Source organism: Homo sapiens, chromosome 8, assembly GCF_000001405.40.
Source record: "Homo sapiens chromosome 8, GRCh38.p14 Primary Assembly".
Classification (NCBI taxonomy): Eukaryota; Metazoa; Chordata; class Mammalia; order Primates; family Hominidae; genus Homo; species Homo sapiens.
Genome location: NC_000008.11, coordinates 43921062 through 43939279, shown reverse-complemented (window position 1 = coordinate 43939279; position 18218 = coordinate 43921062). Strand labels below are relative to the sequence as shown.

The window sequence follows — 18218 nt, the reverse complement described above, 5'->3', positions numbered from 1 at the left end:
TTATATGTAATCCCGTTTACAACGAAATCCTCAAAGCCATCCAAATATCCACATGCAGAATCTTCAAAAAGAGTGTTCCAGAAGTACTGCATGAAAAGAAAGGTTCAAGTCCGTTAGTTGAGGACACACATCACAAAAAAGTTTCTGAGAATGCTTCTGTCTTGTTTTTATGGGAAGATATTTCCTTTTTCACCACAGGTAAGAAAGCGCTCCAAATGTCCACTTCCAGATACTACAAAAAGAGTGTTTCAAACCTGCTCTATGAATGGGAATGTTCCACTCTGTGACTTGAATGGAAATATGGCAAAGTATTTTCTGAGTATGCTGCTGTGTACGTTTTATATTGCATCCCGTTTCCAACGAAATCCTCAAAGCGATCCAAATATCCACTTGCAGATTCCAAAAAAAGACTGTTTCAAACTGCTCTGTCAGTACAAAGGTTCAACACTGTTAGTTGATTAGATGCATCATAAACAAGTTCCTGAGATAGCTTCTATGTCGTTTTTATGGGAAGCTATTTCCTTTTTCACCATAGGCCTGAAAGCGCTCCAAATGTCCACTTCCAGATACTACAAAAAGAGTGTTTCCAACCTGCTCTATGAAACGGAAGGTTCAACTCTGTGACTTGATTGCAAACATCACGAAGATGTTTCTGAGGATGTTTCTGTCTAGATTTTCTTTGAAGACATTACCGTTTCCAACGAAATCCTCAAAGCTAGCCAAATATCCACCTGCAGATTCTACAAAAAGAGTGTTTCAAAAGTGCTCTGTCCAAACAAAGGTTCAATTCTGACAGTTGAGTGCATACATCACAAACGTGATTCTGCGAATGCTTCTGTCTAGTTTTTGTCGGAAGATATTTCCTTTTTCAGCATAGGCCCCAAGGAGCTCAAAATGTCCACTTCCAGATAGTACGAGAAGATTGTTTCAAACCTGCTCTGTGAAAGGGAATGTTCAACTCTGTGACTTGAATGTAAACATCCCTAAGATGTTTCTTAGAATGCTTCTTTCTAGATTTTATATGAAGATATTCCCGTTTCCAACGAAATCCTCAAAGCTTTCCAAATATCCACTTCCAGATTCTATAAAAAGAATGTTTCAAAACAGTTCTGTCAAAAGAAAGGTTCAACTCTGTTAGTGGAGAACACACATCACAATCAAGGTTCTGAGAATGCTTCTGTCTAAATTTTCTATGAAGACATTCCCGTTTCCAACGAAATCCTCAAAGCTATCCAAATATCCACTTGCAGATCCTACAAAAAGGGTGGTTCAAAACTGCTCTATCGAAAGGAATATTTACCTCTGTGAGTTGAATGCAAACATCACAAAGTAGTTTCTGAGAATGCTTCTGTGTTGTTTTTCTATGAAGATACTTCCTTTTCTACCACAGGCCCCAAAGCTTTGTAAACATCCACTTGCAAATTCTACAAAAATAGTGTTTCAAAACTGTTCTAAAGAAAGGAAGGTTCAACTCTGTGAATAAAGTGCAGACATCACAAAGAAGTTTCTGAGAATACTTCCATCTACTTTTAAGTGAAGATATTCCCGTTTCCAAAGAAAGCCTCAAAGTGCTCCAAATATTCACTTGCAGACTTTACAAACAGAGTGTTTCAAAACTGCTCTATCAAAAGAAAGGTTAAACTCTGTGAGTTGAACGCACATATAACAAAGTACTTTCTGAGAAGGATTCTGTGTAGTTTTTATATGAAGATATTTACTTTTCTACCATAGGCCTCAAAGCGCTCTAAATATCCACTTGCAAAATCTACAAAAAGAGTGTTTCAAAACTGCTCTATCAAAAGGAAGGTTCAAATCTGTGAGTTGAATGCACACATCACAAAGAAGTTTCAGTGAATACTTCGGTCTAATTTTTCTGTGAAGATATTCCCTTTTCCAAAGAAGGCCTCAAAATCCTCCTAATATCCACTTGCAGACTTTACAAACAGAGTGTTTCAAAACTGCTCTATCAAAAGAAAAGTTCAGTAAATTACCTTGGGCACTATGGCCATTTTTACGATATTGATTCTTCCTACCCATGAGTATGGAATGTTCTTCCATTTGTTTTTATCCTTTTTTATTTCCTTTAGCAGTGGTTTGTAGTTCTCCTTGAAGAGGTCCTTCACATCCCTTGTAAGTTGGATTCCTAGGTATTTTATTCTCTTTGAAGCAATTGTGAATGGGAGTTCACTCATGATTTGGCTCTCTGTTTGTCTGTTGTTGTTGTATAAGAATGCTTGTGACTTTTGTACATTGATTTTGTATCCTGAGACTTTGCTGAAGTTGCTTAACAGCTTCAGGAGATTTTGGCCTGAGACAATGGGGTTTTCTAGATATACAATCGTGTCGTCTGCAAACAGGGACAATTTGATTTCCTCTTTTCCTAATTGAATACTCTTTATTTCCTTCTCCTGCCTCATTGCCCTGGCCAGAACTTCCAACACTATGTTGAATAGGAGTGGTGAGAGAGGGCATCCTTGTCTTGTGACAGTTTTCAAAGGGAATGCTTCCAGTTTTTGCCCATTCAGTATGATATTGGCTGTGGGTTTCTCATAGACAGCTCTTATTATTTTGAAATACGTCCCGTCAATACCGAATTTATTGAGAGTTTTTAGCATGAAGGGTTGTTGAATTTTTTCAAAGGCTTTTTCTGCATCTATTGAGATAATCATGTGGTTTTTGTGTTTGGTTCTCTTTATATGGTGGATTACATTTATTCATTTGCTCTAAAATCCTCAAAGCGCTGTAAAATCCACTTGCAAATTCTACAAAAACAATGTTTCAAAACTGCTCCATCAATAGGAAGGTTCAACTCTGTGAGTTGAATGCAGACATCACAAAGAAGTTTCTGAGAATACTTCTGTCTACTTGCTATGTGAAAATGCATCCGTTTCCAAGGCCTCAAAGCGCTCCAAATATCCACTTGCAGATTCTACAAAAAGAGTGTTTCAAAACTGCTCTATCAAAAGAAAGGTTCAACTCTGGGAGTTGAATATACACATCACAAAGAAGTTTCTGAGAATAATTCTGTCTAGTTTCTATGTAAAGATATTTCCTTTTCCACCAAAGGTATCAAACCGTTCAAAATGTTCACTTGCAGATTCTGCAAAAAGAGTGTTTCAAAACTGCTCTATCAAAAAAAAAGGTTCAAATCTGGGAGGTGGAAGCACACATCACAAAGAAGTTTCTGAGAATACTTCTGTCTAGTTTCTGTGTGAAGATATTTGCTTTTCCACTGCAGACCTCAAAGCTCTCAAAATGTCCACTTGTAGATTCTACAAAAAGAGTGTTTCAAGCCTGATCTATCAAAAGAAAGGTTCAACTCAGTGAGTTTAATGCACATATCACAAAGTAGTTTCTGAGAATGCTTCTCTCTAGTTATTATGTGAAGATATTGCCATTTCCACCGAAGGCCTCAAAGTGTTCCACATATCCACTTGCAGATACTACAAAAAGAGTGTTTCATAACAGCTCTATCAAAAGGAAAGTTCAAATGTGTGAGTTCAATGCACAAGTCACAAAGAAGTTTCTGAGAATGCTTCAGTCTAGTTTTTATGTGAAGATATTCCCGTTTCCACTGAAGGCCGCAAATCGGTACAAATATCCACTTGCAGACGCTACGAAAAGAGTGTTTCAAAACTGCTTCATGAAAAGGAATCTTAAAATCTGTGAGTTGAATGCAAACATCACAAAGAAGTTTCTCAGACTGCTTCTGTCTAGTTTTTATGTGAGGATATTTCCTTTTTCTCCATAGGCATCAAAGTGCTCCAAATATCCACTAGCAAATTCTACAAAAAGAGTGTTTCAAATATCTGCTCTATCAAAACAAATGTTCAACTCTGTGAGTCGAATGCATACATCACAAACTAGTTTCTGAGAATGCTTCTGTCTAGTTTTTCTATGAAGTTATTTCCTTTCCTACAATAGGCCTCAAAGCGCTCCAAATATCCACTTGCAGATATTCCAAAAACAGAGTTTCAAAACTGCTCTATGAAAAGAAAGTTTCAACTCTCTTAGTTGAATGCACACATCACAAAGAAGTTTCTGAGAATGCATCTGACTACTTTTATGTGAAGATACATCCTTTTCCACCACAGGCCTCAAAGCGCTCCAAATATCCACCTGCAGATTCTACAAAAAGACTGTTTCAAAACTGCTCTATGAAAAGGAAGCTTCAACTCTGTGAGTTGAATGCACACCACACAAAGAAGTTTCTGAAAATATTTCTGTCTAGTTTTTATGTGACGATATTCCCATTTCCACCAAGGGCCTCAAAACGGTCCAAATGTCCACCTGCAGATACTACAAAAAGAGTGTTTCAACACTGCTCTATCAAAAGGAATGTTCAACTTTTTGAGTTGAACAGAATCATCACAAAGTAGTTTCTGAGAATGCTTCTGTCTAATTTTTATGTGAAGATATTCCCATTTCAACTGTAGGCCTCAAAGAGCTATAAATATCCACTTGTAGATTATACAAAAAGAGTGTTTCAAAACTGCTCTATCAAAAGGAAGGTTCACCTCTGTGAGTTGAATGCCCACATCAGAAAGAAGTCTGTGAGAATGCTTCTGTCTTGTTTCTATGTGAAGATATTGCCTTTTCCACCACAAGCCTCATAGCGCTCAAATGCCCAATTGAAGGTTCTACAAAAAGAGTGTTTCAAAACTGCTCTATCAAAAGAAAGTTTCAACTCAGTGAGTTGAATGCACATATCACAAAGTAGTTTCTGAGAATGCTTCTCTGTAGTTATTATGTGAAGATATTCCCATTTCCACCGAAGGCCTCAAAGGGCTCCACATATCCACTTGCAGATATTACAAAAAGAGTGTTTCAAAACAGCTCTATCAAAAGGACAGTTCAAATGTGTGAGTTCAATACACACGTCACACAGAAGTTTCTGAGAATGCTTCTGTCTAGTTCTTAAGTGAAGATATTCCCGTTTCCACTGAAGGCCTCAAAGCAGTCCAAATATACACCTGCAGCTTCTACAAAAAGTGTATTTCAAAACTGCTCTATGAAAAGGAACGTTCAACTCTGTGAGTTGAATGCAAACATCTCAAAGAAATTTGTGAGAATGCTACTGTCTAGTTATGTGAAGATATTTCTTTTTACCACAGTCATCAAAGGGCTCCAAATGTCCACTTGCAGATTTTACAAAAAGAGAGTTTCAACAGTGCTCTATACAAAGGAAGGTTCAACTTTGTGATTTAAATGCACACATCACAAATAAGTTTCTGAGAATACTTCTATCTAGGTTCTATGTGAAGGTATTTCCTTTTCCACCAGAGGCCTCAAAACGCTCCAAATGTCCACTTGCAGAGACTACAAAAGGAGTGTTTCAAAACTGCTCTATGGAAAGGAAGGTTCAACTCTCTGAGTTGAATGCACACATCACAAAGAATTTTCTGAGAAAGCTTTTGTCTAGTTTTTATGTGAAGATATTCCCATTTCCACCGTAGGCCTCAAAGAGCTCCAAATATCCACTTGCAGATTCTACAAAGAGAGTATTTCAAAACTCCTCTAACAAGAGGAATGTTCAACCCTGTGAGTTGAATGCACACATCACAAAGCAGTTACAAAGAATGCTTCTGTCTCTTTTTTATGTGAAGATACTTCGTTTTCCATGACAGACTTCAAAGCGCTCCAAATATCCACTTGCAGGTTCTACACAAAGAGTGTTTCAAAACTGCTCTATCAAAAGGAATGTTCACCTCTGTTAGTTGAATGCCCACATCACAAAGAAGTTTCTGAGAACGCTTCTGTGTACTTTTTATGTAAGGATATTTCCTTTTCCACCACAGCCCTCAAAGCGCTCTAAATATCCTCTTGCAGATTCTACAAAAAAACTGTTTCAAAACTACTCTATGAAAAGAATGGTTCAACTCTGTGAGTTGAATGCACACATCACACAGAGGTTTCGGAGAATGCTTCTGTCTAGCTTTTATGTGAAGATAATCCCGTTTTTACTGAAGGCCTCAAAGTGGTCCAAATATCCACTTGCAGATTCTACAAAAAAAGTGTTTAAAAACTGCTCTATCAAAAGGAATGTTCAACTCTCTGAGTTGAATACAAACATCACAAAATAGTTTCTGAGAATGATTCCGTCTAGTTTTTATGAGAAGATATTCCCGTTTCCATTGAAGGCCTTGAAGCACTCCATATATCCACTTGCATATTCTACAAAAAGAGAGTTTCATAACTGCTCTTTCATAAGGAAGGTTTAACTCTGCTAGTGAAATGCACAAATAACAAGCAAGTTTCTGAGAATGCTTCCATCTACTTTTTATATGAAGATACTTCCTTTTCCTCCATAGGCCTCAAATTCCTCTAATTATCCACTTGAAGATTATACAAAAAGACTGTTTCAAAACGGCTCTATCACAAGAAAGGTTCAAAACTCTGGGTTGAATGCACACATCACAAAGAAGTTTCTGAAAATACTTCTGTCTAGTTTTTATGTGAAGATATTCCCATTTGCACCAAAGGCCTAAAAGCGCTACAAATATCCACTTGCAGATTCTAAAAAAAGAGCATTTCAAAACTGCTCTATCAAAAGGAAGGTTCAAATCTATGAGTTGAATGCACACATCACAAAGAAGTTTCTGAGAATGCTTCTGTATAGTTTTTATGTGAAGATATTCCCGTTTCCACCGAAGGCCTCAACACGGTCCCAGTATGCACTTGTAGATTCTACAAAAAGAGTTTTTCAAAACTTTTCTATGAAAAAAAATGTTCAACTCTGTGAGGTGAATGCAAACATCACAAAAAAGTTTCTGACAATAGTGCTGTCTAGTTTTTATGTGAAGATATTTCTTTTTCCACTACAGGCATCAAAGCGCTCCAAATATCCACTTGCAGACTCTAGAATAAGAGTGTTTCAAATCTGCTCTATCAAAAGAAAGAAAGGTTCAACCCTGTGAGTTAAATGCACACTTCACAAAATAGTTTCTGAGAATGCTTATGTCTAGTTTCTATATGAAGTTATGTCCTTTTCTGCCATAGGCCTCTAAGTGCTCCAAGTATCCACTTGCAGATTCTTGCAAAAAGAGTGTTTCAAAACTGCTGTATCACAAAGAAAGTTCAACTCCCTGAGTTGAATGCACAAATCACAAAGTAGTTTATGAGAATGCTTCTGTCTAGCTTTTATGTGAAGATATTCCCGTTTCCACCGTAGGCCCCAAAGATCTGTAAATCTCCACTTGCAGATTCTACAAAAAGAGTGTTTCAAAACTACGCTATCAAAAGGAAGGTTCAACTCTGTGAGTTGAATGCCCACATCAAAAAGAAGTTACTGAGAATGCTTCTGTCAAGTTTCTATGTGAAGATATTTTCATTTCCACCACAGGTCTCAAAAACCTCCAAATGTCCACTTGCAGATTCTACAAAAAGAGAGTTTCAAAATTGTTCTCTCAAAAGAAAGGTTCACCTCTGTTAGTTGAATGCACACATCACAGAGAAGTTTCTGAGAATGCTTCTGTCTAGATTTTGTGAAGATATTCCCATTTCCAAAGAAGGCCTCAAAGCGCTTCAAATACCCACTTGCAGATTCTACAAAAAGAGTGTTTCAAAACTGCTATATCAAAAGAACTGTTCAACTCTGTGAGTTGAATGCATGCATCATGAACTGGTTTCTGAGAATGCTTCTGTCTAATTTTTATATGAAGATATTTCCTATTCTACCATAGATCTCAAAGCGATCCGAATATCCACTTGCAGGTTTTCCAAAAGAAGTATTTCAAAACTGCTCTATAAAGGTAGGTTCAACTCTCTGAGTTTAATTCACACAGCACAAAGAAGTTTCTGAAAATACTTCTGTCTAGTATTTATATGAAGATAATCCCGTTTCCACCGTAGGCCTGAAAGAGATCTAAATATCCACATGCAGATACTACAAAAAGAGTGTTTCAAAACTGCTCTATCAAAAGAAAGGTTCAAATTTGTTAGTGGAATGCACACATCACACACAAGTTTCTGAGGATGCTTCTGTCTACTTTTTATATAAAGATACTTCCTTTTCCTCCATAGGCCTCAAAGGGCTCCAATTATCCACTTGAAGAATTTACAAAAAGACTGTTTCAAAACTGCTCTAAGAAAAGCAAGTTTCAACTCTGTGAGTTGAATGCACACATCACAAATATGTGAGTTGAATGCACACATCACAAATAAGTTTCTCAGAATATTTCTGTCAACTTTTTATGTGTAGGTATTTCATTTTTTAACATAGGCATCAAAGCCCTCAAGATGTCCACTTGCAGATTCTACAAAAAGAGCGTTACAAACTGCTCTATGAACAGGAAGGTTCAACACTGTGAGTTGAAAGCACACATCACAAAAAAACTTCCTGAGAATGTTTGTGTCTAGTTTTCATGTCAAGATATTCCCGTTTCCGCCGAAGGCTTCAAAGTGGTCCAAATATCCACTTGCAGATTCTACAAAAAGAGTGTTTCAAACAACTCTATGAAAACAAATGTTCAACTCTGTGAGTTGAATGCAATCATCACAAAGTAGTTTCTGAGAATGCTTCTGTCTGGGTTTTATGTGAAGATATTCCCGTTTTAACCATAGGCATCAAAGAGCTAAAAATATCCACTTGCAGATTCTACAAAAAGAGTGTTTCAAAACTGCTGTAACAAAAGAAAGGTTCAACTCTGTGAGTTGAATGCACACATCACAAAGTAGCTTCTGAGAATGCTTCTGTCTAGTTCTTGTATGAAGTTATCTCCTTTTCTACCATAGGCCTCAAAGCGCTCCAAATATCCACTTGCAGATTCCACAAAAACAGTGTTTCAAAACTGCTCTATCAAAAGAAAGCTTCAACACTGTTAGGTGAATGCACACATCACAAAGAAGTTTCTGAGAGTGCTTCTGTCTACTTTTATGTGAAGACACATCCTTTTCCACCAAAGGCCTCAAAGCCCTCCAAATATCCAACTGCAGAATTTACAAAAAGACTGTTTCAAAACGGCTCTATGAAAAGGAAGGTGGAAATCTGTGAGTTGAATGCAATCATCACAAAGTAGTTTCTGAGAATATTTCTGTCTAGTTTTTATGTGAAGATATTCCCGTTTCCACCGAAGGCCACAAAGCAGTCCAAATATCCACTTTCGGATTCAACAAAAAGAGTGTTTCAAAACTGCTCTATCAAAATAAAAGTTCAAGTCTCTTAGATGAATGCACACATCACAAAGGAGTTTCTGATAATGCTTCTGTCTAGTTTCTATGTGAAGATATTCCTGTTTCCACCGTAGGCCTCAAAGAGATATAAATATCCACTTGCAGATTCTACAAAAAGAGTGTTTCAAATCTGCTCTATCAAAAGAAAGTTTCAACTCTGAGTTGAATACACACATCACAACGTAGTTTTTGAGAATGTTTCTCCTAATTTTTTTATGAAGATATTTCCTTTTCTACCATAGGCCTCAAGGTGCTCCAAATATCCAATTGCAGATACTACAAAAAGAGTGTTTCAAAATGCTCTATCAAACAGAAGGTTCAACTCGGTAAGTTGAATGCACACATCACAAAGAAGTTTCTGAGAATGCTTCTGTCTAGTGTTTAAGTGAAGATATTCCCATTTCCACGAAAGGCCTCAAAGCCCTCCAAATATCCACTTGCAGACTCTACAAAAAGAGTGATTCAAAACTGCTCTATCAAAAAAATTGTTCAACTCTGTGAGTTGAATGCAAACATCACAAAGTAGTTTCTGAGAAAGCTTCTGTCTAATTTTCATATGAAGATATTTCCTTTTCTACCATAGGCCTCAAATTGCTCCAAATATCCACTTGCAGATTCTACAAAAAGGGTGTTTCTAAACTGCTCTATCAAAAGGAATGTTCAACCCTCTGAGTTGAATGCACGCATCACAAAATTGTTTCTCAGAATACTTCTGTCTAATTTTTATGTGAAGATATTTCTTTTTCTATCATAGGCCTCAAATCGCTCCAAATATCCACTTGCAGATTCTACAAAAACAGTGTTTCAAAACTGCTCTATCATAAGGAAGTTTAAACTCTCTGAGTTGAATGCACACAACACAAAATAGTCTCCGAGAATGCTTCTGTCTAGTTTTTAAGTGAAGGTATTCCCGTTTCCACTGGAGGCCTCAAACAGATCCAAATATTCACATGCAGATTCTACAAAAAGAGTTTTTCATAACTGCTCTATCAAAATAAGGGTTCAAATCTGTTAGTTGAATGCACACATAACAAAGTAGTTTCTGAGAATGCTTCTGTCTAGTTTTTATATGAAGATATTTCCTTTTCTACCATAGGCCTCCAAGTGATCCAAATATCCACTTGCAGATTCTACAAAAACAGTGTTTCAAAACTGCTCTAACAAAAGGAAATTTCAACTCTCTGAGTTCAATGCACACATCATGAAGAAGTTTCTGAGCATACTTCTGTCTAGTTTTAATGTGAAGATATTTCCTTTTCCACAACAGTCCTCAAAGCGGTCCAAATATCCTCTTGCAGGTTCTACAAAAAGAGTCTTTCAAAACTGCTCTATCAAAAGAAAGGTTCAATTCTGTTAGTGGAATGTACACACCACAAACAAGTGTCTGAGAATGCTTCCATCTAATTTTTATATGAAGATACTTCCTTTTCCTCCATAGGCCTCAAAGTGCTAAAATTACCCACTTGAAAATTCTACAAAAAGACCGTTTCAAAACTGCTCTGTGAAAAGGAAGGTTCAACTCTGTGAGTTGAATGCACACATCACCAAGCAGTTTCTGAGAATGCTTCTGTCTAATTTTTTTTTCTTTTATTATTATACTTTAAGTTTTAGGGTACATGCGCACATTGTGCATGTTAGTTACTTATGTATACGTGTGCCATGCTAGTGCACAGCACCCACTACCTCGTCATCTAGCATTAGGTATATCTCCCAATGCTATCCCTCCCCCCTCCGCCCACCCCACAACAGTCCCCAGAGTGTGATGTTCCCCTTCCTGTGTCCATGTGATCTCATTGTTCAATTCCCACCTATGAGTGAGATTATGCGGTGTTTGGTTTTTCCTTCTTGTGATAGTTTACTGAGAATGATGATTTCCAATTTCATCCATGTCCCTACAAAGGACACGAACTCATAATTTTTTATGGCTGCAGAGTATTCCATGGTGTATATGTGCCGTTTTTACGTGAAGGTGTTTCCTCTTTCACCATAGGCATCAAAGCGCTCCAAATGTCCACTTGCAGATTCTGTAAAAAGAGTGTTTAAAAACTGCTCTATGAAAAGGAAGGTTCATCTCTATTAGTTGAATGCACAGATCACAAAGTGGTTTCTGAGAATGCTTCTGTCTACTTTTTATGTGAAGATACTTCCTTTTCCACCATAGGCCTCAAAGCGCTCTAAATATCCACTTGCAGATACTACAAAAAGACTGTTTGAAAACTGCTCAATGAAAGGCAGGTACAACTCTGTGAGTTCAATGCACACATCACAAAATAGTTTCTGAGTATGCTTCTGTCTAGTTTTTATATGAATATATTTCCTTTTCTACCATAGGCCTCAAAGCGCTCCATATATCCACTTGCAGATTCTACAAAAAGAGTGTTTCAAAAGTGCTCTATCATAAAGAAGGTTCAACACTATGAGTTGAATGCACACATCAGAAATAAGTTTCTGAGAATGCTTCTGTCTAGTTTTTATGTCAAGATATTCCCGTTTCCACTATAGGCCTCAAAGAGCTATAATTATCCACTTGCAGATTCTACAGTAGAGTGTTTCAAAACTGTTCTATCAAAAGAAAGGTTCAACTCTGTGAGTTGAATACACACATCACAAAGTAGTTTTTGAGAATGCTTCCCCTAATTTTTATATGAAGATATTTCCCTGTCTACCATAGGCCTAAAAGCACTCCAAATATCCACTTGCAGATTCTACAAACAGAGTGTTTCAAAACCGCTCTATTGAAAGGAAGGTTCAACTCTGTAAGTTGAATGCACACATCACAAAAAAGTTGGTAAGAGTGCTTCGGTCTAGTTTTTATGTGAAGATATTCCCATTTCCACCGAAGGCCTCAGAGCCCTCCAAATGTTCACTTGCAGATTCTACAAAAAGAGTGTTTCAAAACTGCTCTATCAGAAGAAAGGTTCAACTCAGTGAGTTGAATACACTCATCAAAAAGTAGTTTCTGTGAATGCTTCTGTCTAATTTTCATATGAAGATATTTCCTTTTCTACCATAGGCCTCAAAGTGCTCCAAATTCCAACATGCAGATTCTACAAAAAGAGTATTTCTAAACTGCTCTATCTAAAGGAAGTCTCAACTCTCTGAGTTGAATGCAGACATCACAAAATAGTTTCTGAGAATACTTATGTCTAGTTTTTATATGAAGATATTACTTTTTCTAACATAGGCCACAAATAGCTCCAAATATCCACTTGCAGATTCCACAAAAACAGTAATTCAAAACTGCTCTATCAAAAGGAAGGTTAAACTCTCTGAGTTGAATGCACATATCACAAAGAAGTTTCTGAGAATGTTTCTATTTTTTATGTGAAGATATTTCCATTTCCACCGAAGGCCTCAGAGCCCTCCAAATGTTCACTTGCAGATTTTACAAAAAGTGTGTTTCAAAACTGCTCTATCAAAAGAATATTTCAACTCTGTGAGTTGAATACACACATCGCAAATAGTTTCTGAGAATGCTTCTGTCTAATTTTCATATGAAGATATATCCTTTTCTACCATAGGCTTCAAAGTGCTCCAAATATCCACTTGTAGATTCTACAAAAAGAGTGTTTCTAAACTGCTCTATCTAAAGGAAGGCTCAAATTTCTGAGTTGAATGCACACATCACAAAATAATTCCTGAGAATAATTCTGTCTACTTTTCATATGAAGATATTTCCTTCTTTACCATAGGCCTCAAATCGCTCCGTATATCCTCTTGCAGATTCTACAAAAACAGTGTTTCAAAACTGCTCTATCTTAAGGAAGGTTAAACTCTCTGAGTTGAATGCACATATCACAAAGAAGTTTCTGAGAATGCTTCTGTCTACTTTTTATCTGAAGATATTTCCTTTTCTACCATAGACCCCAAAGTGCTCCAAATATCCACTTGCAGATTCTACAAAAACAGTGTTTCAGAACTTCTCTAACAAAAGGAAGTTTCAACTCTCTGAGTTGAATACACACATCTCGAAGAAGTTTCTGAGAATGCTTCTGCCTAGTTTTTATATGAAGATATTCCCGTTTCCACCGGAGGCCTCAAAGCGGTCCAAATATCCACTTGCAGATTCTACAAAAAGACTCTTTCAAAACTGCTCTATCAAAAGAAAGGTTCAACTCTGTTAGTGGAATGCACACATCACAAACAAGTTTCTGAGAATGCTTCCGTCTACTTTTTATATGAAGATACTTCCTTTTCCTCCATAGGCCTCAAAGCACTCCAATTATCCACTTGAAGATTCTACAAAAAGACTGTTTCAAAACTGCTCTATGTAAAGGAAGGTTCAGTTCTGTGAGCTGAATGCACACATCACGAAGGAGTTTCTGAGAATGCTTCTGTATAATTTTTATGTGAAGGTATTTTCTTTTTCACCATAGGCATCAAAGCCCTCCAAATGTCCATCTGCAGATTCTACAAAAAGAATGTTTAAAAACTGCTCTATGAAAAGGAAGGTTCAACACAGTCAGTTAAATGCACACATCATAAAGAAGTTTCTGACAATGCTTCTGTCTAGTTTTTATGTGAAGATATTCCCGTTTCCACCTAAGGCCACAAAGCGCTCCAAATATTCACTTGCAGATTCTACAAAAAGAGTTTTTCAAAACTGCTCTATCAAAAAAAAAAAAAATGTTCAACTTGTGAGTTGAATGCACGCAACATGAAGTAGTTTCTGAGACTGCTTCTGTCTAATTTTTATATGAAGATATTTCCTTTTCTAACATAGGCCTCAAAGCGCTCCAAATATCCACTTGCAGATTGTACAAAAAAGGTATTTCAAAACTGCTCTGTAAGAAGGAATATTCAACGCTCTGATTTGAATGCACACATCACAAAGAAGTTTCTGAAAATACTTCTGTCTAGTTTTTATGTGATGATATTCCTGTTTCCAACGTAGGCCTCAAAGAGATCCAAATATCCACATGCAGATTCTACAAAAAGAGTGTTTCAAAACTGCACTATCGAAAGAGAGGTTCAAATCTGTTAGTTGAATGCACACATTACAAAGTAGTTTCTGATAATGCTTCTGTCTAGTTTTTATATGGAGTTTTTTCATTTTCTACTATAGGTCTCAAAGTGCTCCAAATATACACTTGCAGATTCTACAAAAAGAGTGTTTCAAAACTGCTCTATCATAAGGAAAGTTAAACACTCTGAGTTGAATGCACACATCACAAAGCAGTTTCTTAGAATGCTTCTGTCGAGTTTGCATGTGAAAATATGACCGTTTCCACCATAGGCCTCAAAGAGCTACAAATATCTACTTGCAGATCATTCAAAACAAGTGTCTCAAAACTGCTCTATCAAAAGAAAGGTTGAATTCTGTGGGTTGACTACACACATCACGATGTACTTTTTGAAAATGCTTCTCCTAATTTTTTTATGAAGATATTTCCTTTTCTACCATAGGCCTCAATGCGCTCCAAATATTCACTTGCAGATTCTACAAAAAGAGTGTTTCAAAACTGGTCTATAAAAAGGAAGGTTCAACTCTGTAAGTTGAATGCACACATCACAAAGAAGTTTCTGAGAATACTTCTGTCTAGTTTTTATGTGAAGATATTCCCTTTTCCACCGAAGGCCTCAAAGCCCTCCAAATATCCACTTGCCGATTCTACAAAAAGAGCATTTCAAAACTGCTCTATCAAAAAAAAAATGTTCATCTCTATGAGTTGAATGCAAACATCACAAAATAGTTTCTTGGAATGCTTCTGTCTAATTTTCATATGAAGATATTTCCTTTTCTACCACAAGCCTCCAACTGCTCCAAATATCCACTTGCAGATTCTACAAAAAGAGTGTTTCTAAACTGCTCTATCAAAAGAAAGGTTCAACTTTCTGAGTTGAATGCACACATCACAAAATAGTTTCTGAGAATACTTCTGTCTAGTTTTTATATGAAGATATTTCATTTTCTACTATAGGCCTCAAATCGCCCCAAATATCCACTTGCAGATTATTCAAAAACAGTGTTTGAAAACTGCTCTATCATAAGGAAGGTTAAACTCTCTGAGTTGAATGCACACATCACAAAGAAGTTTCTGAGAATGCTTCTGTCTAGTTTTTATGTGAAGATATTCCTGTTTCCACCGTAGGCCTCAAACAGATCCAAATATCCACTTACAGATTCTACAAAAAGTGTGTTTCAAAACTGCTCTATCAAAAGAAAGGTTGAACTCTGTTAGTGGAATGCACACATCACAAAGCTGTTTCTCAGAATCCTTCTGTCTAGTTTTTATGTGAAGATATTTCCTTTTCTACTGTAGGCCTCAAAGTGCTCCAAATATCCACTTGCAGATTCTACAAAAACAGTGTTTCAAAATTGGTCTAACAAAAGGAACTTTCCACTCTCTGAGTTGAATGCACACATCTCAAAGAAGTTTCTGAGAATACTTCTGTCTAGTTTTTATATGAAGATATTCTCGTTTCCACCGGAGGCCTCAAAGCGGTCCAAATATCCACTTGCAGATTATACAAAAAGACTCTTTCTTTTATTTATTTATTTATTTATTTATTTTTTTAATTATACTTTAAGTTTTAGGGTACATGTGCACATTGTGCAGGTTAGTTACATATGTATACATGTGCCATGCCGGTGCGCTGCACCCACCAACTCGTCATCTAGCATTAGGTATATCTCCCAATGCTATCCCTCCCCCCTCCCCCCACCCCACCACAATCCCCAGAGTGTGATATTCCCCTTCCTGTGTCCATGTGATCTCATTGTTCAATTCCCACCTATGAGTGAGAATATGTGTTGTTTGGTTTTTTGTTCTTGCGATAGTTTACTGAGAATGATGATTTCCAATTTCATCCATGTCCCTACAAAGGACATGAACTCATCATTTTTTATGGCTGCATAGTATTCCATGGTGTATATGTGCCACATTTTCTTAATCCAGTCTATCATTGTTGGACATATGGGTTGGTTCCAAGTTTTTGCTATTGTGAATAATGCTGCAATAAACATAATGTGTGCATGTGTCTTTATAGCAGCATGATTGATAGTCCTTTGGGTATATACCCCGTAATGGGACGGCTGGGTCAAATGTTATTTCTAGTTCTAGATCCCTGAGGAATCGCCACACTGACTTCCACAATGGTTGAACTAGTTTACAGTCCCACCAACAGTGTAAAAGTGTTCCTATTTCTCCACATCCTCTCCAGCACCTGTTGTTTCCTGATTTTTAATGATTGCCATTCTAACTGGTGTGAGATGGTATCTCATAATGGTTTTGCTTTGCATTTCTCTGATGGCTAGTGATGATGAGCATTTTTCCATGTGTTTTCTGGCTGCATAAATGTCTTCTTTTGAGAAGTGTCTGTTCATGTCCTTCGCCCACTTCTTGATGGGGTTGTTTGTTTTTTTCTTGTCAATTTGTTTGAGTTCATTGTAGATTCTGGATATTAGCCCTTTGTCAGATAAGTAGGTTATGAAAATTTTCTCCCATTTTTTAGGTTGCCTGTTCACTCTGATGGTAGTTTCTTTTGCTGTGCAGTAGCTCTTTAGTTTAATTAGATCCCATTTGTCAATTTTGTCTTTTGTTGCCATAGCTTTTGGTGTTTCGGACATGAAGTCCTTGCCCATGCCTATGTCCTCAATGGTAATGCCTAGGTTTTCTTCTAAGGTTTTTATGGTTTTAGGTCTAACGTTTAAATCTTTAATCCGCCTTGAATTGATTTTTGTATAAGGTGTAAGGAAGGGATCCAGTTTCAGCTTTCTAAAGACTCTTTCAAAACTGCTCTATCAAAAGAAAAGAAAAGTTCAACTCTGTTAGTGGAATGCACACATCACAAACAAGTTTCTGAGAAAGCTTCCATCTACTTTTTATTTGAAGATACTTCCTATTCCTCCATAGGACTCAAAGGGCTCCAATTATCCACTTGAAGATTCTACAAAAAGACTGTTTCAAAACTGCTCGATGTAAAGGAGGGTTCAACTCTGTGAGTTGAATGCACACATCATGAAGGAGTTTCTGAGAATGCTCCTGTCTAATTTTTAAGTGAAGGTATTTCCTTTTTCACCATAGGCTCAAAGCGCTTCAAATGTCCACTTGCAGATTCTACAAAAAGAGTGTTTAAAAACTGCTCTATGAAAAGGAAGTTTCAACTCTGTAAGGTGAAAGCACACATCACAAAGAAGTTTCTGAGAATGCCTCTGTCTGGTTTTTATGTGAAGATATTCCCGTTTCCACTGAATACCTCAAAGTGCTTCAAACATTCACTTGAAGATTATAGAAAAAGAGTGTTTCAAAACTGCTCTATCAAAAAAAAGTTCAACTCTGTGAGTTGAATGCAAGCAACATGAAGTAGTTTCTGAGAATGCTTCTGTCTACTTTTTATATGAAGATATTTCCTTTTCTAACATAGACCTCAAAGAGCTCCAAATATCCACTTGTGGATTGTACGAAAAGGGTATTTCAAAACTGCGCTATAAAAAGGAAAGTTGAGTGCTCTGATTTGAATGCACACATCACAAAGAAGTGTCTGAAAATACTTCTGTCTAGTTTTTATGTGAAGATATTCCTGTTTCCACCATAGGCCTCAAAAAGATCCAAGTATCCACATGCAGATTCTACAAAAAGAGTGTTTCTAAACTGCTCTATCAAAAGAAAGGTTCATATCTGTTAGTTGAATGCACACATCACAAAGTAGTTTCTGAGAATGCTTCCGTCTAGTTTTTATATGGCATTATTTCCTTTTCTACCATAGGCCTCAAAGCACTCCAAATATACACTTGCAGATTCTACAAAAGCAGTGTTTCAAAACTGCTCTAACAAAAGGAAGGTTCAACTCTCTGAGTTGAATGCACACATCATGAAGAAGTTTCTGAGAATTCTTCTGTCTAGTTTTTATGTGAAGATATTCCCGTTTACACCGTAGGCCTCAAAAAGCTATAAATATCCACTTGCAGATACTACAAAAAGAGTGTTTCAAAACTCCTCTATCAAAAGAAAGGTTCAACTCTGTGAGTTGAATACACACATCACAACGTAGTTTTTGAGAATGGTTCTCCGAATTTTTATATGAAGTTATTTCCTTTTCTATCA

At 36.8% G+C, this 18218-nt stretch overlaps 3 annotated features.

Moving 5' to 3' along the window:
• Positions 3 to 981: an enhancer, noted in NCBI's record as "OCT4-NANOG-H3K27ac hESC enhancer chr8:43793442-43794420 (GRCh37/hg19 assembly coordinates)". NCBI's record gives its function as "activates a minimal SCP1, AML or CMV promoter by ChIP-STARR-seq in naive and primed H9 embryonic stem cells {active_cell/tissue: H9 hESC(naive and primed)}" and the evidence as "EXISTENCE:reporter gene assay evidence [ECO:0000049][PMID:30033119]".
• Positions 982 to 1961: an enhancer, noted in NCBI's record as "OCT4-NANOG-H3K27ac hESC enhancer chr8:43792462-43793441 (GRCh37/hg19 assembly coordinates)". NCBI's record gives its function as "activates a minimal SCP1, AML or CMV promoter by ChIP-STARR-seq in naive H9 embryonic stem cells {active_cell/tissue: H9 hESC(naive)}" and the evidence as "EXISTENCE:reporter gene assay evidence [ECO:0000049][PMID:30033119]".
• Positions 6282 to 6821: an enhancer, noted in NCBI's record as "OCT4-NANOG hESC enhancer chr8:43787602-43788141 (GRCh37/hg19 assembly coordinates)". NCBI's record gives its function as "activates a minimal SCP1, AML or CMV promoter by ChIP-STARR-seq in primed H9 embryonic stem cells {active_cell/tissue: H9 hESC(primed)}" and the evidence as "EXISTENCE:reporter gene assay evidence [ECO:0000049][PMID:30033119]".